Genomic DNA, 13,974 nt, shown 5'->3' with positions numbered 1-13,974 from the left:
ATTATAGGCGTGAGTCACCTCACCCAGCCTGGTTCTTGACTTCTCTTATCTACTCATTTTATTCATCAGGGTTCTCCAGAGAAACAGAACCCATATTAAGAAATTTATTGTAAGGGATTGGCTTACACAATTGTGGGGCCTGGCAAGTGTGAAGTGTGTAGGCCAGAGACTCAGGTAGCAGTTGATGTTGCAGATTCTTGAGGCAGAATATCTTATTTTTCAGGAAACCTCAGTTTATGCTCTTATGGCCTTCAATTGATTGGAGAAGGCCACCCACCTTTTCAAGGTTAGCCTCCTTTACTTAAGGTCCCTGACTGTAGACATTAATCTGACTGTAGACTGTAGACTGGAGTAGTGTTTGGTTAAATCACTGGGTACTATAGCCTAGTCAAGTTGATACAGAGAACTCATCATCACACTCAGCAAAAGTTCTTTTCTCGGGAGTATGGAAATCATTTCCTATGTCAACATGGGTTGGGTGAATGAAGAATGGGGGGGTCCCACCGGGCTGATTTGGGATGAAAGTGTATCATTCAGGTCCTGGCATCTTTCGTTTTCAGCTGTGACCTTTGATTCCCACTCTCTGTGAGGGTTTGTGCAAATCCCTCCTTTCATTTGTAAGATGGGAGAAGCATTGTTCCTGGGTATGTAGGGGATCAGAGGATTTTAAAGGCCTGCCTTTAAGCCAGAGTGAGAAAGCCAAGGGCTTGGCTTCAGGTACTTTCAGGACTTGGACCTGGAGTTTTCACTCCTCCTGGGGACACACCTGGGATATTCTTCCCTTTAAGGAGAGGCTAAGGTGGTGCCGACCAAAGTGGTTCCTCTCTCTGATCTGAGCAGTTTGGAAGAGGGTAACAGACAGACCAAAGTGGGTCAACCATAGAGCCCAGGCAGGAATTACAGCTTCAGCCTCTCTCTCTCTCTCTCTCTGTGTGTGTGTGTGTGTGTGTGTGTGAGAGAGAGAGAGAGAGACACCCTGAGATGGTGGTGGGAAACCCTCTGGGATTTGAATCGAAAGCCACTGAGCAGGGCTCCCTAACTGGACAGAGCTCCCTGAAGTTCTATAGGCTGCTGGGGGAGGATGGGAGGAGAGGGAGTATGTGGCTTTCCAGGATTTGGGAGGGAGACATGGAAGCTAGGGAGAGAGGAGCCTTCCTGCAAGGGGAAAACCCTACATACATCCCAAAGACCTCCCTCACTGATGGGGCCTTGGCATCCTACTGCTTCCCTGGGTGCCAGTTGTTTTCCTTTTTTCCACGAGGAGAAACTGAGGCTCAGAGTGGTTCGTGATTCAGTAGAGGAGTGGCTACCAGACAGTCACTGAGGGTAACCAGGTGCTTTTCTTGGTCTTCCTGGAGGACAGCCTAGGGGGAAACAGATCGAACTGCAGCTGGAGGGAATTGGGGTTGTCCTAAGGAGGGGTTGTCCTCTGGTGGTAGGGAGACTGGAAGGGGGACAGGGGACTGAAGGAGCAGCTGGGACTCCCTTAATTGGAATCTCAAGGACAGAAATGGTTGTGTTGGGCGGGGAAAGGCTGAGCCTTCCCGCACTGGTGGGGTGTGTGTCTGGAGGTGTGGATCAGAAGCTGGGCTGCTGGTACGTGGAGGCCGAGTGCTAGAGTCCCAGCCTGCCTGGCATGGACCTGTGGAAAACAGCATGGGCCATCTGTGCCCTCTAAGACCACATCTGTTCTCACATGCCCCCTGCCCTGCATCCACCCCTGGGAGCCAGCCTCCTAGACCTGGCCATGTTCCCAAGAGGCTGAGACTGAGTCCCCCACTGGTCCCCCTTGCCCTCCACTGTCAGAGGCATCCAGCTGCCTCTGTGTTCTGTGTGGAGACCAGGAGATGGGGCTAGTATCAGTGAGCATTCTTGGCAGCACACTTGACCACCCCCAGCCTCAATTTCCTCAAATGTAAGATAGGGATAATGAAAATAACACCTGGCTTGCAGGGTTGCTGTGAAGAGCTTTGTAAATGGTACATGTTGTGGGGTGGATGTCCTGTTCCTGGATGGGTCAATGAGTCGGGGACACTCCTTCTGCCCCCCACTCACTGGGTGAGTTAGTGGAGGGACTGGTGGAGTCTCCTAGGACCCCAGTACAAGGGTAGGTGAGGGGCTGTGCAGCGGTGGCCCTACTGAGAGTCCCTTCTAGACCCTCTGCAGCTGCTGCTCCTCCTCCTCCTCCTCCTGCCGGCTTCCTTCTCCACCCTCCTCCCTTCACACGTGAGGATGATGATAAACACTCTGCCAGCTCTGAATAGGGCCTGACCTCAGCGGCGAGGCATCTCCCCTCACTCCCACCCTCCCAGCCCCAGCCGCATTCCTGGAGAGGCTAGAGCTGAGGCCCCCACTTGCCCCTCTCTCCCTCCACCCACAGAGGCGTCCAGCTGCCTCTGTGTCCTCCGGCTAATGCCCACCCAGCTGCTTCCCTTGGGCCAGTCTCATCAGAACCTTGAATACCAAAGGGCTTGAGTGTGGACATTGGGTGGGATAGTCCATAATAATAATAATAATAGTGGTTATCATTTATTAAGCAATTAGACACCAGTCTTCATGCTAAGGCACCAGGTTTTATGCTAAGATTCCATGCTAAGGCACCGGGTTCCAGGCTAGGGTTCCATGCTAAGGTTCCATGCTAAGGCACCAGGTTCCATGATAAGATTCCATGCTAAGACACCAGGTTCCATGATAAGATTCCATGCTAAGGCACTAGGTTCCATGCTAAGTTTCCATACTAAGATACCAGGTTCCATGCTAAGGCACCAGGTTCCATGCTAAGGTTCCATGCTAAGACACCAGGTTCCATGCTAAGATACCAGGTTCCATGCTAAGGTTCCATGCTAAGATACCAGGTTCCATGCTAAGGTTCCATGCTAAGACACCAGTTTCCATCCTAAGTGCTTTATGTGAGTTGTGTCAATAAATTCTTCAAACAACCCATGAAGAAGTTGCTATTACTACCATTCCAGTTTTAGCAGGAACAGAGAAAGTAAGGTGGGGAGGAGGGGGAAACTGAGGCTCAGAGAGGTGAAGCTGCATGCCTTACATTACACAGCTAAGGAATGGGTGAAACCAGGACTCCTGGGCTGCCGATGTCCCAACAGCCCCCTCCCCGCACAGTGCAGCACTAGGTTCCCCTTCAGCCTGTCTCATCCCAGGACACAGGACCCTGGTCCTGAGAGAAGATGCAAGAATGGGAGGCAAGACTTGCTCAGTGGCCTGGGGCCTGGGCTGCCATGAAAACTGGCTGCGGATCTCCAGGTGCTGAGAACCTTGTAGAAGGTTTGAGTTCCTCATTCTCCCATCCTCAGTTTCCTAGAGGTGTAGAGTTAGAAACCTGGGCAAGGAGGAAGCCTTCTTCAGGGCACTACCCTAACCCACCCTAACCTCACCCACCATCTGCTGGGCCTCAGGCTCCCGCTGGACTGGTTGCTTACCTGCCTGCCTGGGCGGTTCAACAAGTGCAGGCTTGGGTGTCAAAGAAATGTGAGTTCAACATCCGGCTCTGCCACCCACTGGTCTTGGGGCGTTGAGAAGGTCGCTTCTCCTCTCTCAGTCACACTTTACCTGTCTGTAAGATGGACATGGTTAGGTCTACCCATGAGGGCTATGTGGGGATTGGAGAAAATGGAAGTAAAGAACTAGTCCAGAGCCACCCTTGGTGAAAAGCCACTGTCATCATCATTTACCATCGTCATTCTCCATCCCAGCCATCCACCCACCCACCGCCAGCGTGCTCTTCCTCTGTGACCGATGTCTCCCGTGTAGCCATGAACCTGCATGCTCAGGATGCAGACGACGGTTTGGGAAGAGGGTGCGTGACTGCCGTGTGGGACTGCATGTCAGCTTCCCATGAAGGGGCACCTTGGGTGAGCTCACTGTTTCCTAACGGCATCTGGCATTTTCTCCTTTCCCATTTGACCATGTCAGTTATCACCATCCTACACGACTGCTCACTTCATTTAAAAAAACCCAGTTTGCTTTTTTTTAAACCTTTTATGTATTCTAAGTGATAGAAGGTATGGTCTTGGTCTACGATATGTTTTTAATTTTTCTTGAAATACATAAATATTAAAATAAAATTGTGCTATGTTTCCAACTAAGATCATCTTGAATCTCACACTTTAGGAAACTTGGAATCAGATGAGCTCCTCCTTTTGTGTGTGTGTGTGTGTGTGTGTGTGAATTCTTTATTATGGGAGATTTAAAACCTATACAGAAGTACCAAGAATGATGCAATGAACTCCTTTGTACCTACCCCCGGCTTCAACAACCATCCATTTTTTGCTGTTTTTGTTTCATCTGTTCTCCCTCTTCTCCCCACCTTTTTTTTTTTTTTTTTTTTTTGCGGGAGTACTTTTCAAGCAAACCCCAGACATTATATCACTTTACTTTAAATACTTCAGTATGCATCTTTAATAGATAAGGACTTTTTATTTTAACATTACCATAATACCATTATCACAGTTAACATCATTAATAATAATTTCTTATGATCAGCTACTACCCCATCTGTGTTCAATTTTCTCTAATTATCTCAAAAATGTCTTATTTGGATTGGTTTCTTTGAATCAGGCAGAAGAACATAGAAGCTGTGCTCTCTCAGGCCTCTGTCTATTTCCATAGTAATCATATATTGACATATATCATTGCCACCATCTTCACCGGCCAATTGGTGATACATGCTGACTGTTTCTGATGGGTCCTTATTTCATGGTTTTTACCTGGTGAAATCAGGAGTCCAGTGTCGGCTCCCTCTCATGTACAGCCTTAGCCTGCCAGTCCCACCGTCCTGTCCCCAGGAAGGAGAGGGGGCTCTGGAAGGGGCTGGGTGTGTATGCAGAGACACAGTGGGAGGAGTGCGGCACCTTGGAGTGAAGCTGGGCAGGGAGGGGGAGCTTGCATGGCTGCTTCACTGGATACCTCATCTCATAAATACCATGTCCCTGAGATGTCCATGTAAGGCTGCCTGGCTGGCTCGGAAGGGGCTGGCCACCATGGGGCCACTGGGCTCTGGGAAGCACAGCTGCCTTACCGGGGTGGGGGCGGGCCGCCCTGGGGGTGGCCTCGTGGGAACACACCCCGTCTTCCAGCTGCGCTCCATACCGTGGTCCTACTCCTCGTGCCCCCAGCCTGTGCTTTCATTGCTAGCCAAGGTCCTGTCCTCTCTGAGCTGCTGTCAAGCTTGGGTCACTGCTCTGACGCTCCCTGATCCCGTCTCCTTAGGGCTGGGAAAGTCACGTCCCAGAGTCCCTGAGCTGCTTCCTTCCTCTCCTTCCTTTTCTTAGGAGGCCTCATGCCTCAGTTTGACTGGCTGGTCTTATTGTCTTCCAGGAAACTGAGGCCATGGGGACACATAGGTCCTCTTCCCAGCAATCTCCCCAGGATCCAAGGCACCTCTGGGAAAGCCACAGCCCTTCTCTGGGCCGCAGTTTTCTCATTGGAGAAGTGCCTGGGACAGCTCTAGACCTCATTGACTGAGCTGCCCAGAGGGACACTTGAGATTTAGGGGTGCATGTGTGTGAGCTGTGTGTGTGTGAGTGTGTGGGTGTCCACAGACTTTAGAACTGCAGCCCTAGAACATTTGTCAGGTTACAGGGGGAGAAAGAGACTGAAGCGAGGGCTGTTCTCTAGGACCACCAGGATCCCACAGGACTTTCCAGCGCCTGTGTCTCCATCCTCTCCCCGCAGCCTTGCTCCTTCGGGTGTTTCAGATCCCCCTCCCTGTCTTTATTTCTTTGTTCTTTCTCTTTTCTGCGTCCTTGTTACTCCCCCTTCTGCTGCGCCCCTCAGGACTCTGTATCACTCATGTTCCCTCCAGGAGCCTCCCTTGTTCCCCAGGTCTCAGCCCTTCACCCTGATCCATAGCCCAAAGTTCAAAGAGTGGCCGGGTGCGGTGGCTCATGCCTGTAGTCCCAGCACTTTAGGAGGCTGAGGTGGGAGGATCCCTTTAGCCCAGGAGTTCAAGACCAGCCTGGGCAATGTAGCAAGACACTGTTTCTATTAAAAAAAATTCTTTTTAACCAAGCCAAACAAACAAAAAAAACAAAATTCAAAGACCCCATCCTCTTGACCCCTGGGTGGGGGAGCCCCTTTCTCTGACTTCACAGCTCCCATTTCCTCCAGAGCCTTCCGTGACTCTGGGACTTGGTGGGGGGGCTCATGTCCTCCAATCTCCTGTTCCAAGGACACCCCTCCCACTTCAAGGCAGCTGCAGAGGCCCCAGAACAACCCCCAGATGCCTGACATTTTGTGGGAGCGTTACCTGTTTGTGTGTGCTGAGAGTCCCCTGTCTCTGAGCCTGTAATGAACATGAGTTTTTTCCCTGAGAGGGACATTGTCCCTGATCTACCCAGTGTCACTGAAAATATTCAATTCCAAGAGCTGGCCAGGAGGGAGGATTGTTTGAGGCCATGGACAGACCCCTGGCTTAGGACTTGAAAGACCTGGGTTCACATTCTGGGTGCTATCTCAGTGAGCTCCAGTCCCCTCACCTGTCAAATAGCCACAGTCATGATGAGATAAGGTGTTGACCGCCTCCCACTGCTTAGGAGGGGCTCTGTAACCTCCTGCTGCCCAGGATCTGCCCAGGCACTGAGTACTTGGTGCCTGAGGCAGTACAGTGGGGTGTGTGTTGGCCCAGCTTGGAGGGACTGGTGGTGGACGGGCACTGTGCGGGAGGAAGGCTTGTGTTTGGGCCCACTTCTCAGGATGAATAAGCTTGGAGGGACTGGTGGTGGACGGGCACTGTGCGGGAGGAAGGCTCGTGTTTGGGCCCACTTCTCAGGATGAATACAGACCTTCCCCTCCTTCCCTGCGTGGATGTCTCTGAGGGGAAACTGAGGCCCACATGGTCCTGGGGCCCCTGGAGAGGGGGAAGCTGGCTAGAAGGGAGAGTGGCTGGTTCCTGGCCAGGGCACCTGTGTTGGTGGTGCCACCTTCTGCAGTTCCTCCCAGTTGGCACTGCGGGCGTGGAACCCACGGGGGTGAGACACTGAGGCTGGAACGTGCTGAGGATGCCTGGAGCCACTTATCTTGGCCCAGGAATGTGCTGCAGTGTTATTAGCCAGCAGTTTCTCCTCTTTGGAGTAACCCCCTGGGGACTATGGCGGACACCTGTCCGGCTCTGGCTGCCCAGACAGCCCGTGGGTACCTGCACCCAGCCGCTGTTGGGTGGAGCTCATGAGTGTGCCTGTGTGTGTGTGTGTGTACATTCACGGAAGTGTGTGCATGGATCTTTTGTGTGTCTGAGGACCCTTCTGTGCATGTGTATGTGTGGCGATGTGCCTGTGTGGGGGCAAGTGTTTGCCAATGTGGATCTTTGGGTCCTTTACTCATGAGAGTGTGTGGGCACCATGTGTGCAGGAAGCCCACAGGGGGCCTGGGGAACACAAAGGAAGCAAAGGCCCAAGGGGTGGCTGGGAGGCTGGATGGTGGAAGGAGAGGTCAGCAGCACGATGTGCAGGCAGGGCAGGAAGGGCTGCTGGGGCTCTTGACAGTGGGGTCTGCGCCACCCTCCTTGGCAGTGGAGTTGGCACTGGACTCTCTAAGGCAGCATGGTAAAGGGCCCTGAGGCCAGATGGCCTGAGTCCAACTCCTGCCTTGATCACTCCCTAGCCTTGTGACATTTGGACAAGTGACACCCTCTTCAAAGCTCGGTTTCCTGTTTATCATGGTGATAATCACAGTACCTGCTTAGTTACCAGGAGGAATAAACCAGATAGAGTACCCGGAGCACCCTCAGAGCTCCATAGATGATAGCTTATCATCATCATCAGCATCATCGCCATCACCATCATCATCAGGATTAGGGTCCATGCTGGCTGCGCTGCATCTCGCCTTGGCAGTCTCTTTCTGGCTGACATTCCCACACAGGATGGGGGACCGCAGCTCATTCGCTTGCAGCATAGCAACAAGATGGAGACCCAGAGAGGGCATGAGACTGGGCAGGGTCACCAGGGAGCCAGAATAGAGCCCTAGGAGCCCAGCCCCTGGCTCCTGCCTCCTTCCACATGCGGCACTGCCTCGCTCTGCTTAGAAGTTTGGGGAGGCAGCACCTCGCCAGGCTGGAGAGACAAGGAGAGCCTGGCGGGCTTATTAGCCCAAGCCAGCTTCTGCAGATGGCCCAGGACCATTCTGTTTGAATCTTCTTACAGGATCAGTGTCTCCCCTTCTGGCCCTAAATGCTCTCCTGAGTCTTCTGGTTTTGGGTTCCCCTGATCTGACTGCAAGTCTTGAATCCCACATGGAAAACAGCTGAAACCCAGGAGAGGTACCCAAGGGGGACAGCTGGCCACCTGGTGTCTCACTCAGCTCCTCACACCTGCTTTTGCCATGCCAGCTCTACTTTCTGCTCCTGACACAGGCCAGACGGGAGTGGAATTCCTAGGAGGCACTGGCCTCTTTAGAGCTGGGCTCCCTCTGCCTGCCAGCACATCCCACGTCCCCTCCCTCGGTCCTCCTAGGCCACCCTGTGGCTCCCCTAGTGTAGCTGACCCAGGGCGTCACCAGGATTGTGGAGGTGGGAGCGGGCTCTTTGGCACCTGGGCTCAGTGAGGTGGGTGGGAGTGGGCAAAGGCAAGTGGAACTGCCAGGGTCCCCCAGCCAGGGCAGGCTATGATTGGCCTGAACGCTGGCCAGAGACTTGTTTTTCACAACCACCACCAAGTACTTGGAAGAAAAATCCCAAAACCCAACAACAGAAATAACCACCAAACTTTTCTTTCTTTCTTTTTATTTTTTTAATTTGCAGTTAATGGCCGATTGGCTGTACATTATTAAACAGGCAGCTGGAGATTTGCCAGGGTAGATTGCTTGAGCCAAGGCTCACAGCCTGAACACAATGTTCCAAGAAAACAGTCACCCATGGGGTCCCTGGTGAGGAGCACCCAGAGGGCGGGGCTGTAGCTGTTGCCCCGCACTCTCCCACCCCTTCCGCCCCAGCCTCTGCTAGGATCATCTAATGGAGGGCAGGACTGTGCTGCTCCTGGAGCCCAAGCATCCTTCATCTGGGCCCTGCAGATCCCTCACTGCCCCAGGGGCCCGAGCTGCTCTTTCCCTCCTCATGGACATTAGGAACAGACGTGAGGCTCCTGCTTCCATCCCCAGATGGCCAGGCCAGCATCTCCTCTCCTGGGGACCAGTGTGATGCAGAGGCCTGAGCGCTGGGCTGGGAGCTGGAGCCCTGTCTAGGGTTGACGTCATTGAGCTCCTCCCTATGGTGATTTTGGGACTCCATACCTGTCCTCCCTGGGCCTCATTTCCATGTCATTACAAGGAAAGGACTGGGCTGCTCAACTCTAAATCCTCAACATTTTGTGAGCCTTGATTGGGTGGCCTTGGGGAGGGCTTGGAGTGATTGTTTCCCTGATTTGGGGGCCCTTCTTGCCCCAATCCTGTTCGCATCCATGAGACCAGGATCCATTTCTCAAGCAAGCCCTGCTGGGAAGGGGTCTTCATCAGCCCCATTCATGTTGTTTTAGCCAGTCCCTCCAGCCACCTTGAAGCCTACCAGCGTAAAGGTCAAGTGTCCACGCCATCCGAGTTGGAGAACAAGCTGAAAGTCTGGAGGTTGGGGACTGCCATCTTGGTGAAGCCAGTGCTGCATTTGGGTACATGGATAAGATCACAGTGTGGTGTCCATGTCCTCACCAGGCTGGGCCTGCTGACTTCTGCACTGGGCAGGCTGCTGCTGGCTTTTGTGTGTGTGTGTGTGTGTGGCGCGGGAGAGTCACCGGTTTGGGAAGTGGGCCTTAATGAACCCTCTCTGGGCCTTTTAGAGGCAATATGACATAGTGGTTAAGAGTACAAACTTGGGAATCAAGTCCTATCACCCCTGCTTATTTGCTGTCTCATTATCATTGACTTTGGACAAGTGGCTTCACCTCTTGCGTCTGAGCTCTCTCAACTGTACAAAGTAGGGTTAGAATAACATCTACTCCCAGGTATGGGGAGAGGAGGGAATGAGTGAATGCAGGCACTGGGGCTGTACCAGGGCTTGGCACATGTTAAGTGCCCATCAGCTGTTGGGATCTAAATGTCTCTCCCTCCGGCCGCCTGTTCTTTCCCTTCAGGTCACTCAGCACGATTTGTGTTGTGTGTTTGTGTTTGTTCCTTCAGCGGCTCCCTCTCCTAGATCAAGTGCTCCTTGAGGGCAGGGGCCCATCTGGCTGTGTTCATGTTCTGCCTGGAGGGCCTCACAGGGCCTGGGCCACTGCGGGCACTTAGAAAGTACTTGTGGAATGAAGGGGTGAGGGACAGATGGGATGGAGCCAACTGGAAAAGGATCAGAACCAGAGAAAGAACCACTGAGCACCTGGCATGTGGAAGAGTACAGAAACTGAAAAACCTGGGGACGTCTAGCCTGTGAAGCTACCACTATGGGAGACTTCCAGTGATTGCGTGGCTGTGTGTGTGTGTGTGTTGAATAAAGCTTTGGGGAGATTTGTTCCCTGAAGCAAAACCAAGGGTTCCAGGAAGCAGGTTTCCCCCAGTGGTGGGAGCCGCCTTGAGGATGGGGAGTGAGCCCTGAGGGCCTGGGGTGTGTAGGCAGGGGCGGGCGAGCCCCTGTCAGGTCAAGGAGAGCCCTGATATGCTGGAATGTGGTCCAGCCAGGCCCTGAGGCCCTGCCGGCTTGCTGCAGCTGCTGTAGTTAGGAGAGGAGTAGCAAACATAGCTGATGTCTCTGAACTTCAGTTTCCTCCTCTGTAAAATGGGATTCATAAAGGTCAATACCCAATGGGGTGCTGGCAGGATTAGAATGAGTTAATCCCCACAAAGCTCTAGGAACAGTATGTCAATTGGGAAACACTCACTAAATCTGAGCATTATTAGGCAGGGAGATACATGACAGAGAGATGAATCGTAATTCTGGGATGGGGGTGGTGACGGCTTCTTTGAAGGAGGAGAATGTCTGGGGAGCCAACATTTATGGAGAGCTGCTCTAGGCCAGATCTTGCACTCAGTACTCAGAGCAGTGAAATAACTTGCTCGAGGTTACACAGCTTCAGATGTGGTCGGTGCACTTCCAAAGCCTGGGATCTCTTCTCCACTCCTGGTAGGATGGGGCCAGGTTTCTGTGATTCCCTTCCCCCTGGAGGGATAGCTCCCCATTTCAAAGTGGAGCAAGGTGATGATTATTTTCTATAGGGGTGGATCCGAAGTCCTCAGGAGGGAAGTTTCCAGCTCTCTCCAACCCTGAAAGTGCTACATCACTAAAAACTCTAGGGAGCGGAGGAGGGTGCAGCAACGGGGAGATTTTCCCTCGGAGCCCGGGGCAGGGAGATTGGCCATGAGCAGAGCCCTGGAGGATGGGCTCGGGGAGATGGAAAGTGAGCCGAGGGGTAAACTGAAGCAGGGGAGGGGAAGGAAGGTGCTGCGCAGAAGAGTGCAGAGGAGGAAGAGGGCCGTGCGGGTGACAGCAGAGGAGGGAGGGGAACAGAAGAAGGAAGAGAAGAAGAGAGAGAGGAACCAGACTTGGACCTGGGCCAGTGGACAGCTCTGGGCTTTGGGCGAGGATGCCTGGCTAGGATCGGTCTCCATAGGGCTACTAGATGGTGGCAGGAGGGGAGGCCTAGGGAGTGGGAACCAGCTGGCCAGCACCAGGGCCTACCTGGGACAGCACATGTGAGCCAAGTGTTCCGCCACCAGCCAGACCTCCTCACCTCCCCCAGCCCAGGAGCCAGCTTGGCTAAAGGTCAGCTCTCGGGGTGTGGCCAGCACGCTCCCCAGTGACCAGGGCCCACAGGCCTGGCCTTGTCAGGATGTTATCCTGTTCCTAGCAGCTGCTCCTGGTAGTTTCTACCTCTTGGCCATTCAGAGATGAATGGGAAATGGCCCTAGGCTTCAAGGAGTTCACAGATGAAGGGGCAGAGAGACAGTGGAGGTGCACGTGGGCAGTGGCATTTGCTGTGGTTCACTTTCCCAAGACAATTTTTTCAAGGTGCTGATGGTGCTTGCTGTGTTTTTTATTATCTGAAATAAAAATTGGGCTCGGTTTCTTTAACCTTTCCTTGTGGTTTTTATTCAACAAATATTTACTGAGTGTCTACTGCTGTCCTCCTCTGGATGCTCTTTGGCTTATAGGGTACAGAAAAGAAACTGACATTTCTGATGGTGTCTGGTGGAGTAGAGTAGAATTCTTATCTCCTTTGGTCTAGATGCTAAACCTCCATTAATACAACCAAAAGTGCCTGTGCCTTTTGGGGGCAAGCATATCCTACTGTTAGCTAAACTGAATTTCTGTTTTCAATAAATTTTAGACCTTTTGCTGTATGAACTCTTATCGATTCAGGTTTTTTATGGCTTTGGAACCCTTGTTTTGGACATTACCCCAAGAAAAATGTTCCCTTGCTAATTCTGGCTCATTTATAAAGTCAGCTTTGCATTTCAGTTCACTTCAGCATCTTAGCTTTTCCTGTGCTTTTTTCTTTTCTTTTCTTTTTTTTTTGTTCCTTGGTGTGCTTGGTAAGCCTCCCTTCTAAGTTGTAACCTAAGTTACTGATAAGTATGTTGAACAAGCCAGGGCAGAGGATGGAGCCCTTTGGCAAGTCAGGAAGTTGACATTGATCTATTCATCAACACCCCTTTGCTTGCTGGCTAGGAATCTACTCAGCTTTCTCTCTTGTCTCCAGGAATTTCATCAGGGATCCTGCCAACACCTTCCTGAGATACAGATAGTCTAGATCTGGGGATTCCCCAGTTATCTGGTCTAGAAGCCTCAAAATAATGGGTTTGGGATGGTAGGTGTGATGCTATGGGAAGGAGGGCTCCCTGAAGGAATCCAGGCTGATGCCAGTGGTCTCTGCAGGGATAGGTCCAAGGGAAACCCTGCCCTGGAGGCAGCTAGAGCCCCAGGGTCCTTCCTGCTTTAAAATTATGCTTCTCAGGGGAGACAGGGGTTTGTGTGCAGTACTTTCTGCCAAGGACCAACGTCTGCCTAGAAACATGTTTCCGGGCATCTCCAAGAGACCTTAAGGCCATCAGATGAGGAGATCGAATCCAAGAGGGACTGAGAATTTCCTCTGGTCACCAAGGGCGTTGGAGGCTGAGTCGGGCTGGAACCTGAGGCCTTGACTCCTAGTCTGAGGCTCTTGGTGCTGAACCCAAGTGCTCTTCTGGCTAGAAACAGGCAGGGTGAGAGGAGGGAGGGGCTGCCAGTGTGTGCCTTGGGGATAAGCTGTTGGTGGGCCATTTTCCCCCGACTCTCCTTCCCTTTCCATCCTCTGCCCTGACACTATGGTACAAATCTGAGTAGGAAGCTGGAATGTGGAAAGCCCAGCACTTCTCCTTCCCGAGGTGGGGATGTGCAGCAAAGGGCCTGGCGCTGTGCACATTTCTGCACTTTGAGAGAGGATGCAAATGCAGATGCATGCCAATGAGATGTCATAGAGGACACAGTGGTGAGCAGGGGGTGCCCCTACTCCTGCCTCCTTCTGGCCTGAGTTTTAAGGATGAGACATAGAAGAAGACCTGACATTAGGAAGGAAGGGCAAGGATGGGGGGCTTCAGGGCAGCAGCGTGAATGTGGCTTCTGGGGTCATCTCTGGAGTGAGCCCTAGTGAGGAGGCCCCACTAGGGGGTGATCCTGAGATGGAAGCACCCTGGGAGACAGCCCGAACTCATCTCTAGCTGTAGCGGGGAGGGCATGGTCAGAAGAGGGAAGGTACAGCTCAAATGCATAGACATTGCATGCCTAGAGTGGCCCCTGGGGCCTGGCTCCCTATGGGGTGTGTTGGGCCTAGCAGGATTCAGAGGCCCAGAATAGCCTCTGCCCCAGGACATCTTGGGAAGGAAGCAGAGCGGTGCCCCAGTGGCCTCTCCCCTTGGGACCTGGGCATGTGGCCCTTCCTTCTCTGTGATGGAGGGGGAAGAAGAGAGTGAGGGCCCAGGGTGCTAGAGGAGGCGGCTCCAGTAATTGCCCCAGAGACTAACACTTCCCACCCATCACAGGAAGAGTTGGGGAACCGACCC

At 52.7% G+C, this 13,974-nt stretch overlaps 1 protein-coding gene and 1 long non-coding RNA gene across 15 annotated transcripts in view, besides 1 other annotated feature; one reads left to right on the top strand and one right to left on the bottom strand.

Moving 5' to 3' along the window:
* The window catches only part of TNS1 (tensin 1), a 234,192-nt gene that overhangs the window by 71,792 nt on the left and 148,426 nt on the right, over positions 1-13,974 (top strand). The window contains exon 5 of one of the 14 annotated variants that reach the window (XM_047445636.1): positions 3,714-3,872. The exons of the other annotated variants lie outside the window; for them this stretch is intronic. Within the exon in view, the coding sequence (XP_047301592.1) occupies positions 3,714-3,872 (159 nt within the window). The remainder of the gene's footprint in view (positions 1-3,713; positions 3,873-13,974) is intronic. 14 annotated transcript variants of the gene reach the window in all.
* Positions 1,687-2,201: an enhancer, noted in NCBI's record as "H3K4me1 hESC enhancer chr2:218824713-218825227 (GRCh37/hg19 assembly coordinates)". NCBI's record gives its function as "activates a minimal SCP1, AML or CMV promoter by ChIP-STARR-seq in naive H9 embryonic stem cells {active_cell/tissue: H9 hESC(naive)}" and the evidence as "EXISTENCE:reporter gene assay evidence [ECO:0000049][PMID:30033119]".
* On the bottom strand, positions 3,240-4,814 carry LOC124905960 (uncharacterized). Its single transcript, XR_007088087.1, has 3 exons — positions 4,728-4,814; positions 3,441-3,574; positions 3,240-3,340 (listed from the first exon to the last, which is right to left on the bottom strand). It is a non-coding gene; the product is annotated as an uncharacterized LOC124905960 (long non-coding RNA).

This window comes from Homo sapiens, chromosome 2, assembly GCF_000001405.40.
Source record: "Homo sapiens chromosome 2, GRCh38.p14 Primary Assembly".
In the NCBI taxonomy this organism is placed as follows: domain Eukaryota; kingdom Metazoa; phylum Chordata; class Mammalia; order Primates; family Hominidae; genus Homo; species Homo sapiens.
This window is presented reverse-complemented; position numbering and strand designations above follow the sequence as displayed.